An 11,420-nucleotide genomic window follows, 5' to 3' on the forward strand; every position below is an offset into this window, starting at 1 on the left:
CCCCTACAGCCCTGGGCCAGACCCTGCACAGCCCCTGTAACTTCACACCCTGGCTCTGTTCTTCATAGCAGAGTAGGGAGCAGGAAAGAGCAGAACCCCAAGAATTAGGCGGGTGAAGTCCTAATCCTGCTGCTCCCTCTGCACAAGGTTGTCTTGGTCCTTTCTATTCTTTTGGCTTCCATTTCCTCATATGGACAATGAGGATTGAACTTGATCTGTGGTTTTCAAACAGGGTTCCAGGGAAATCTGGCAGATGTACCTCAGGGGTGAGGGGGCCCCATACCCTTCCCTGTTTCATCTAAAAACAGGGAACTCCTTTCCCAGGTGGCTGCTGAAGATGGTGGAGGGGCAGGTCCTGGAGCTTGATGGTCGAAGCCATCTCCCGGGCTTCCTGACTGCCATGGTGGCTAAGCAGGCTAGAAGGTGGGGGTCATACGCTGCAGGGGCATTAACATTTCTGGCAATGTCTATAGAAACAAGTTGAAGTACCTGGCCTTCCTCCTCAAAGGGATGAACAGCAACCCTTCCCGAAGCACTTACCACTTCCTGGCCCCCACCACTTCCTGGCCCCCAGCTGCATCTTCCAGCGGATTGCGAGGCATGCTGCCTCACAAGACCAAGGAGGCCAGGCCTCCCTGGACTGCCTCAAGGTGTTTGACGGCACCCCACCGCCCTATGACAAGAAAAAGCAGATGATGATTCCTGCTGCCCTCAAGGTCATGCGTCTGAAGCTTACAAGAAAGTTTGTCTACCTGGGGCACCTGGCTCATGAGGTTGGCTGGAAGTGCCAGACAGTTACAGCCACCCTGGAAGAGAAGAGTAAGGAGAAGGCCAAGATCCACTACCGGAGAAAGAAACAGCTCATGAGGCTATGGAAACAGGCTGAAAAGAAAGTGGAGAAGAAAATTGACAAATACACAGAGGTACTCAAGACCCACATACTCCTGCTCTGAGCCCAATAAAGACTGTTTATCCCTCAAAAAATAAATAACTCAATAAATAAAGCCAACGATAAAACCAAAAGGCAAAGTTGCAAGACTGACTTATTTTTAACTTTTATGTGTTGAGCTACTGTAAGCTTCATTTCTGTTACAGACTTATAGCAATTAACTATACAAAACATAAACATTGTTCTGAAAAATAAAAATATAGATAGATAGATTTATCTCCACAACTCATAATTGGGAGTATTATACCCAGGAGGCTTTGTTACAAGGTATTTTATCCTGTTAGGAAATATTTTCCTTTAATTTTATAGTAAGCAGAAAATGTTTATGGTTGGGGTGGATGCAAAAGTGACACATAATAATTTAGAAGGCAACTAAACTTGTTTTACCAGCTGTTTAGGCATTTTTTACCATCTTTTGGATTTGGAGGGTTTGATCTTGACCTAATTTTATCCTTCAAAATGGCTCTTACAATTTTATGCACCCACCTCTTCCACGATAGTACCTGGGCCTAGAGTGAGGCAGCTTGTATAGTTTTGGCTGCAGGATATTAGCAGTGAAACAGATCCAGGGCCAGGGGATGCCAAATGAGGGAGATTCATATCTCTGATCTTCAGAATACCATGATTTTGGTTTCCTTGGAAGTAAAACAAGGAGAGATAAATAACATTTATAGTTTGACAGTTATAAGAGTAATTCATATGTTAGAATAGAAAAAGAAACCTATTCCATTAGAGCACCAACTAAAAATATAAAGAAAAATTATAATCTGGTACCTTCTAGAGGATTATTGTAGCCAAGAAATAATTATTTAATCTGCACTTAAAATGTTAGGGCTGAAATCTAGTATTAAGTGTCATGTTCTTCCCTTAAAACAATTATTTTTTAACTATTATTGAACTCATGCAGACAACTATACTGTTATAAAATTACAATCTATATTTTGGAGAACTCAGAAAGGTAAATTTGCTTACAAAAACATACTTTACCCAAACAACTTAAAAGAAAAAGATTTTCCTGATCCTCCTTTAACCAGGGCAGCAGCTTTTAAGACAAGATGTTTGTTTACCTTGGAAATGTTATTTACAAACCAAACAGATAGACAAATAGAGTTTAGCAGCTTCTCACAATTAGTCCTAGGAAAAAGGCTCTCTGCTTATTAGGTAGCAAGATGTATGTAAACCATTTTTTATTTTATCATGAAACTCTTTGGGAAACATTTTTTCCATTAGTATAGGGGTAGCTTCAGTTAATATTTCACAGCAAGGCAGTAAATGCCTCATCAAGTAGAACTTCTCTAGCTCAGTCGGTGTTATTGAAAAGTACTCATAGTTTTTGCCATCAGCCCTGATAAATGCATTACACAAAAGGCTATGCAGTGGAGGATTTACATGAGCAGGTTGACATGTCTTCAGTTTTGTAGTACTAGAAAGGGGAAAACATCCCCCAGTTAGATATAGTACCCATTTTCATAAGACATTTAGGTAAACGGGGTTACAACTACCTTACATAAAGCGTGTTTAAACATTACATTTTATAATTCTATTAACCTTTATGTTTTTCTGTTCTGGTCCCAGGAAGCCTTTTTTTGCCCTAAACTATTTTACCTTGTCTGGTGAAAAGGGTTTGGGTTCCCGTCAGGGAGTTGCATCTGTAAGACTTATGAGGGACAGCAGACTTGATAAGGCTTCTTAAACAGACCTATGATTCTGTGGGAGGGGCACCCATGTAAAAGGAGCCCTCTTAACCCCCAAATTTACCATGACCCAGGTAATGAACATATTTGGTGGGAGGATATCCCAGTTATCATAAATCTAGTCCCACATGGCTTGCATATGAAACATATTAACTGCTTCATCTGGGGTATTTCACTTGGTATTTTATAGGGAAAGTTGGGCAGTCCCCTTCTCAAGGCCAACAGACCTTATAATGGCATTATCTGGTCCACTAGGCTGATTACTTTCTCAGGAATAACACCCTGTGCATTTGGGTCACATATACTCAGTATTCGTTCAGTAATGAGCTGTGGGTCCTGCATTAATCCAAGCAAGCTCCTAAATTCTCTAGCATTTAAAATTAAAAATTTGGTCCTTAAAGTGGTTATTTTTATAATCCACCATTTTTAAAGAAACTGAATGATACCAATCTACAAACTGGAAAAATTCCTTTGCATTACACCCTCTGGTTTTTAATGGTTACTTGGTTTTACTGTTCTCCCATATCAACTATTTTCTTGGTAACCACAGGGCTCAGAGTTAACTGTTGATGCCCTGGCTTTTGTTTTTTTAAATTTATTTCATTTTATCTGTATAACTTTCTTCATTTTAGCTGTATAATTTTGCTTCATTTATAAAGCAACTCTTAAATAGTTTCTTAACCAAAAAGTAACATATTTTTTGAGAATTGACATCCTTGTGTTTATAAAATTCTAACAAAGGCACATTTCATGCTTTTACTATTTTAACTTTTTAGTAACCCAAATTTCTGTGGAAAAAAACCCAAGCATTTAAACATGACTTTAAGGTTTTTAAACTACTGGACAATTTGGAGATTAAATTTACCAAATTAATTTTTACCAAATATTACCAAAGTTATGTAAATAAAAAGAGATCTGAGCTAGCTTTTACTAATCTGGTAAGCATTTACATTTTTGTAAGTTAAGTGATTAGAACTTTTTCATGCAGTTTGGTAGTGAAATATCACCTCTACATGACACATATAAAGATAGAGATATAACAGGCATGCAGAATAAAAGGCATGTTCAAAAGATACATTATTTGCCTGTTTTAAGAAACAATTTTTCTCCCTTACTGCAGATAATTAGTAAAAGTTACAGGAGCCAACAAAAGGTGAAGGAGAGAGCCATCATTCAAGGCCTTTTCAAAAGAGAAAGCTTGGCACTTTTAAGATATCAATCTGAAGAATGTTAAAAAACAGATTATAGAATTTAAAAATTTAAAAATATCTTGCATTACAAATAAGTCAATATTTGTAATAAAATCTTGTTTTTATCAATTATTTAGTTTTGTATTTGTGCATTTTTTAAATATTAAAGACCCATCTCTATAAAGATTATTATGATTTCCTTTTAATTATAGCCAACTGAAATATACAACCCCTTAAAAATTCATTTTACTAACCTTATTATGACTTACACAGACCATTCACAGAAGTTAGACTTTTTGTTTTACCCTAAATATCTCTCTTTCTTGAACAATCCAGTTATTTTATTTTAGGGCAAAAATTCACCACACAAGGTTCTTTCTTATATAAAATTACTTTCCTTTTTCACCTCTTTTTTTAACTAAACATGCCTCTTTATATCTTTCTTGACAGCTCTTATTTCCTGATTCCTTTACCTTACTTCATACATAACCCTTAAATAAGCTTTGAATTAGACAAAGATATTTTACCTTTAATAAGAACATTTAAAAAAAAGTTTTCCTGTAATTCTTAAATTGGAAATTGCCCAGATACTTAATATCAATTAATAACCTTAGATCCTAAATTATGACAAGTTTGTTTACAAGCATTTATTCCATTACATTTACCTGATTAATTTAATAGTTTACCTAGATTATTTACAAAAAAAACTATAATAGCCAATATTCAAAGTTATTTTTCTATTAACCATTTTTATAGCTGTGAATTTTATGTATTTACTTAAGTAATAAAACTTATGGTTACTTTTAAGGGTATTTATACCAACAACTCAATATTTAGCTATTTTCATTTAAGCCAACAATATTTCATAAGCATGTACAAGCAAAGATCATTCTGTCTTGGGCTGGGTTTCATAGTTTATAACCCTTATGGCAAATCATACAGTATTCTGCAGGAATAAACATGAAACTACTTGCTTAATATATGTAAACAAAATGTTTACAATTCTAAAGATATTGCTGATATTATTTTACCAATAATTTCAAAGCTGACTTATTTAGTAAAGATTTTACTTAAGTCATGTGAACTTGGAAAAGCATTTGACTAGTCTCTTTTTTTTAGCATCTGATTTAAGCATTTTTTATAGCCAGTTAATTAGAGCTCTTCATATATTTTTACTAGTGAAAATATTGTGTACACACACATAAATATGTTGATGTATTAGGCATACTGATAGAAGCATATCCTATAGGTTCATAAAGACCTTTTTTTCCTATTTTTAAAAATCTAACCCTAAGCAGTTGTCAGCTAAATGGCCTTAAATTTGCATATTAAAGGCAACTCAGGTGAACAAGAGATAGCAAAATTAGTCTGGTGTGCTAGAGGGAAATTAAAACGGATTCAGTTGCCAATTGAACATAAAATTACAGAAGTCTATTATAAAGGCCTTTAAATATATACACGCACAAATACAAAGCTCCCATAGCTATTACTTCAGTACTTTAGCCATGAGATAAATACAACTTTGCCAACTTGCAAAAACATTGTTAGATCTGAACAGTGGTTTTTATCTCAGTAGAAAAGTTACAGCAGACTTACAGCAGGCAGAAGAGAAAACAGAACCTAGGTACTCTATAGTTTGTAGGTCTACCCTAGGATTCTTTTCTCCCTAATGTAAATGTGCACAAAGACTGTATTAGTTCCATTTTACATAAACTTTGTCAAGTAGAGGTGCCATAAAACCTATGAAGTGCCCAAAAGTGGGTTATTCTCCTTGTTTTCTACTTATTAAATCTTTTCCCGCTTTTTTTTTTTTTCTTAAAAGGAGGAACTGAGCTGTAGCCTAGGGTTATTGTGTGGTGGATGGATGCATGCTCCTTGTGGACAGCACTCCACAGTGTGTCACCACTGAGTCATTTCCACCCTCTTACATGTCTCAGTTTGTCTCTCCAGAGGTCTATGACCTATGAGAGGGCTCAAAACTCTGGGTGATCAGCCCTTATATGCATTTCCTGGATGAGCCATTTTAAAATTAAGTCTTGTTGGGGATTTCCCTGCAGGGCTGCTGCACATCATGGGAGGTCAACCCCCCAGACCCTCCCAGGAGGCCCCTGGTCACTCAGGGGCACCTTTCGGCCGGGAGGAACAAATGCCCTTTCTCTTTGGAGCTGAAAAACTTAGTCTCTCATTTATCTGTGAAAACAACAGTTCCATTCCTCATGAAAATGCACACAGAAAAACCAAATCAAGATAAATTTTAGGATAAAAAGCAATATAGAATTCCCTTTAGAATGCATCTCCAAACTCAACTATGATCCTTAAACAATTTCCTAGGAGAAAACCAGCTCAGAATAAATCAAAGACTGACTATCAACCAGGGGGGTCCAGGGCTCAGGACTTACCAGTTCCACCAGAGGAGAAGCTCTAAGTTGGACAGGCTTTAATGGGCCCCGCTGGTACCTTAGCTCCAAGTTTGGGCAACTCCTTCGGAGTCCTGCATCTTCTCTGAGGTCCCATGTGTTTGGGCGCCAAGTTATTGTTGATGTAAAGAGTCGAACTCTGTAAGATATTTTAAGAGATTTATTCTGAACCAAATATCAGTGACCATGGCCCATGACACAGCTCTCAGGAGGTCCTGAGAACATGTGCCCAAGGTGATTGGGGTAGAACTTGGTTTTCTATATTTTAGGGAGGCATGAGACATCAATCAAATACAATTAAGAAATACATTGGTTTGGTTCAGAAAGGTGGGACAACTCAAAGCAGGGGCTTCCAGGCTATAGGTAAATTTAAACATGTTCTGGTTGACAATTGGTTGAGTTTATCTGAAGATCTGAAATCAATAGAAAGGAAGCATTCAGGTTAAGATCAAGGATTGTGGGGAATAAGTTTTATTGTGCCGAGGAAGCTCTCAGACAGCAGACTTCGCGACAGAAGGTTGTAAAATATTTATCTGACTTAAAAGGGTACCTGACTCTAAGTTGATTATCCCCTGGATATGGAAAGGAAGGAAGGAAAACAAAGAGGAAATGGGATTCTCTAGAGAATGTGGATTTTTCCCACAAAAGGGTTTGCAGGGCAAATTCAAGGTATGGTAAGGAAATATATTATGGGGTAAAACATTTTGATTTCTTTCTTGTTATGCCAGAGATAGGTTGGAAGGTAAATCATGATAAACAGGGTCAAATAAAGCCCATCTGATGAGAATTTATGGTTTGTAGGGCATGACTCCCCAGACCCCTTAGATAAGAATTTGGGCAAGACAAAAAAACAAAGAAAAATCAGAGCTTCATCCTCAAAGTAAAGTGAAGAAAATAATTCCGAGCAAACTTGCTGCAGAAAGATAATCTGACTTAAGTTTGTATTCCAAGTTCTTATTTTGCTTCGGTTAGTCTTGAATTTGATTATAAATCTGTGTTGGGAGCTATTTTAAGTGACTACGTATATTTTGAGCATACTAATGTTCAAAATATGCTTGAAATAAAATTTTAGAAAGCTTAATAGTACTTCAAAGTGTAACATAATTTTTATTCATGAATACATATTTAGGGTTAATAAAATAAGGAAAAGCCTTAATAAAAGATTCTACATTTGCAAAGATACTAGTGTAATTATGAAGCAAAGATTTAGATTATTTTGAAGTCAAAACAATGTCTTAGTTTTCAAAACATAAGGATTACTATTGAAGACTTTTCTATGTAGATCATTTCAAATGAAGCACAGAAAGGAAAAACATTATTTTGTTTGGGATTCCCTAAGGAAATTAAAAAATATATACTGGAGATCATATAAATCAGAATTTATGAATTATTGTTTGAGTTATCCAAAATGCAACAGCAATACTGGGACATGTTCTTGGGAGGATCTCAGAGAATGAGAAGAGGGAGAAAGAGATAAAAGAGATCAAAGAAATAAGTAGTCATCACCCAGCCAGCTCATGGAGTCTTTGTGCTTCAGTGAGTACAGATCCAAGAGAGCCGTTGCCTGTCCTATCACTCAAACTCACAAAAGCTCAGTTCCTGAAGACCTAAAGCACCCTTGTGACAGATCCTGAATAGCTTGTGCTTCCTGAGAGGGGGATCAGGAATGTTTCCAGAGTAGCTTTTTGTTTGTTTGTTTGTTTGTTTGTTTGTTTGTTGAGACGGAGTCTGGCTCTGTCACCCTGGCTGGAGTGCAGTGGTGCGATCTTGGCTCACTACAACCTCTGCCTCCCAGGTTTAAGCAATTCTCCTGCCTCAGCCTCACAAGTAGCTGGGATTATAGGCACCTGCTGTCGCGCCCAACTAATTTTTTTTTTTTTTTGAGACAGGTCTCTCTCTGTCATCCAGGCTGGAGTGCAGTGGCGCGATCTCAGCTTACTGCAACCTCTGTCTTCCAAGTTCAAGCGATCCTCCTGCCTCAGCCTCCTGAGTAGCTAGGATTACAGGCACAGGCCACCACGCCAGGCTAATTTTTGTATTTTTGGTAGAGACAGGATTTTGCCGTGTTGCTCAGCTGGTGTCGAACTCCTGGGCTCAAGTGATCCACCCGCCTCAGCCTCCCAAAGTGTTGGGATTACAAGCATGAGCCACTGTGCCCGGTCCAACTAATTCTTCTATTTTTAGTAGAGATGGGGTTCTACCACGTTGGCCAGACTAGTTTCAAAATATTGACCTCAAGCCTGCCTACCTCAGCCTCCCAAAGTGCTGGGATTACAGGCATGTGCCATTGCACCCAGCCTCCAGAGTAGCTTTTATTGGCTTTATTTTGCTTTTCTCACCAGCTTTAACATGAGTATTGGTATTTAGGTGATAGGATTCCTAGACTGGCTAATTATGATTTTACAAAAGAGTTGACATGTATGTTGTTGGCATCCCAGTTTGTACTGGTTTGCACGTTTTACTCCCAGCTTAAAAGCAAGAGAGAAAGAAAGAGAGAGACTTAAAATTCAGTCATCAAGTGATTGAAAATAAAATAAAGTCCATTCCACCTAAATACCTACTATATTCACTGATATGGTTTGGCTCTGTGTTCACACCCAAATGTCACTGTGATAATCTCCGCATGTCAAGGGCAGGACCAGGTGGAGGTAAATGGATCATAGGGGCAGTTTCCCCATGCTGTTTTTGTGATAATGAGTGAGTCTCATGAGATCTGGTGATTTTATAAGCATCCAGCATTTCCCCTGCTTGCACTCATTCTCTCTCCTGCTGCCCTGTGAAGACGTGCCTTCATTACTGTAAGTTTTATGAGGCCTCCACAGCAATGTGGAACTATAAGTCAATTAAACCTCTTTCCTTTATAAACTACCCAGACTTGGGCAGTTCTTTATAGCAGCATGAGAATGAACTAATACAGTTATAAACCACCTACAAATGGATTCATCAAATGATTGCTTGAAACTGACATCTATGTTCTATATCATCCGTGGTGGTGATTAAAATGTACCACCTGGATGCCTCTTCAGTGAAGGAACCATTGCCTCAGCTACAGGGGTTTGCCAGAAGACAACTAGGGCTATCATTCCCTTCAGGGACTGTCTCATTTGAAAAAAGTCTCCTCAACCAAGGTCATGTCATTCCTGGAGCAGCTGACAGCTAATAACTTCTTGATACAGGAGCATAAAGTCTTGGCTATCTTGGCCTGATGAGGAACATCTCTCAAGGATCTTTCTGGCTTAAAGTTCCTCAGGCCTGCATCACAGCTTGATGTGTCCCTTGGATAAGTGTTGATTCCAGCATAGTCCTAGGTAAATATCCTACACACTAAACTCAGTCCCAGAGTCTCCTTCCAGGAGAACTGAACATGTACTCATATTAGATTCACATTTATGTGTGTTTTCCTTTGTCTCACTGAAGCAGGCAACATGAAAAAATGTATGTTTTAGTAAGGGGCAGCTCATCCTTCCCTATGAAAATTATCCAACATTCCCAAACTTGTTGGCCACCCAAGCTCTCAGTGTCTCTACTTTGTGCTTCTGCTTGAATAATGTGACAGGGAAGTTCATTACTGTGATTAATTTAGTTAAAGTGGTACAGGAAATGGAGATGCCTTTATAACTACCAGTATAATAAAAGTCTTTTAAGTATTTTAACATAATAGAGAAAGAAAGTAATCTCTGTGATCTGCATGAAAAGCTGTGCTGGAGAGTTTTTATACGGCCACATTCTCTAAGTCAGGCTATACTGATAAAAAAAAAAAAAAAGAATAAAGGTGTTAATGAGCCTAAATCCAACTGTTCTGTGAATCTGAGCTAATTAGGTGACAAACACAAATTTGTATGCACCAAGAGAAAGAGAGAGAAACAGAGAGAAGAAGAAGAAAGACAGGAAAGAAGGAAGGAAAGAAAAAAAAGGACAGAGGAAAGAAGGAAGGGAGGGAAAAAAGAAAAGAAAAATGGGTAGGTGGAATAAAAAAAGACACCAAAAGTTCTGATGCCCTCAAAATTTCAGAAGAAGTCATAACCCCAAATGCCTAAACAATCAGGGAGTTGGTGTAAATGTATGACATGGGCTAAGTGTGTGATCAACAGGGAATGTCAGGGACTGTGGCAAAGTAGAAATTGACTGCCCCATCCAAAAGCAGCAGCCACTTTTTACCTCCAGCCCACTCTTTTCTTGGAATAAAATAGAGGTAGTATTGCCAGGTCTTTCAATTTTGTTAAAGAAGACATCAACTCAGAATTTTTATAAAGTTTTTTGGCTTACAAAATATCCTGAAATCCACACCAAGTGCCTTTGCAGGCCAGATGTTGCCCTGGAGCTGTAGTTCACAAATCCTTTCAGAATACTGATTATAATATACTGGTGACTTTTTGGTCACATGTTTCTTAAGGTATATGCAAATCAATCTTTGTGAATGTTACCATATTTTAAATCACAAAATTTCACTATTTAGTGTAAACTCCCTAAAGATTTACCTGTTTGGTAAGCTTTTTTTTTTTTTAAAGTAAAATGTCTTCCTGTTGTAGTGGGATTACTTGTGGATCCCTTGGATAGACCAATTGGAAAGGAAGTAGTTACATTTCTAACGTAATGACATATAATGCAAAATCCATATGGTGTGGAGAGGGCAGATTGAAGGGGCATTCAGTAAACCAGAGTTTACCTTATGCAGAATATCTCTCTCATTTTCTATTTCTAGATGTAACATCACTTCTAAAACATCATTAACAATAACTCATTAGTTGAGCTAAAACCAAACTATTCAATGTCTTGAAACAGCATAATCTATTTTTAAATTGAGATATTATTCATGTAACCATAAGATTCATCCTGTTACAGTGATCCTGTTAACAATTCAGTGGTTTTTAGTATATTTGCAAAGCTGCATAGCCATCACCATTAACTAATTTCAGAACATTTTCATGACTTGCCCCCACTACCCTGAAAAAAAAAAAATTATGATTATTAGCAGTCACTCCCCTTTTCCTTTGCTCCCAGCCCCTGGAAACATCTAATCTACTTTCTGTCTCTACAGATTTGTGTATTCTGAACATGTCATATAAATGGAATTATATATTTGTCATTTTGTGTCTGTCTTCTTTCACTTAGCAAAATGTTTTCAAGGCTTGTCTGATTGTGGCATTAATCAGTGTAGTTGACCCTTGAA

At 37.5% G+C, this 11,420-nt stretch overlaps 1 pseudogene, besides 1 other annotated feature; it reads left to right on the plus strand.

Moving 5' to 3' along the window:
* RPL13AP13 (ribosomal protein L13a pseudogene 13) lies at positions 316 to 979 on the plus strand (annotated as a pseudogene).
* Positions 5,786 to 5,875: an enhancer, noted in NCBI's record as "active region_22545". NCBI's record gives its function as "activates an Ori minimal core promoter by ATAC-STARR-seq in GM12878 lymphoblastoid cells {active_cell/tissue: GM12878}" and the evidence as "EXISTENCE:reporter gene assay evidence [ECO:0000049][PMID:35858748]".

This window comes from Homo sapiens, chromosome 5 (assembly GCF_000001405.40).
Source record: "Homo sapiens chromosome 5, GRCh38.p14 Primary Assembly".
Taxonomy (NCBI): Eukaryota; Metazoa; Chordata; class Mammalia; order Primates; family Hominidae; genus Homo; species Homo sapiens.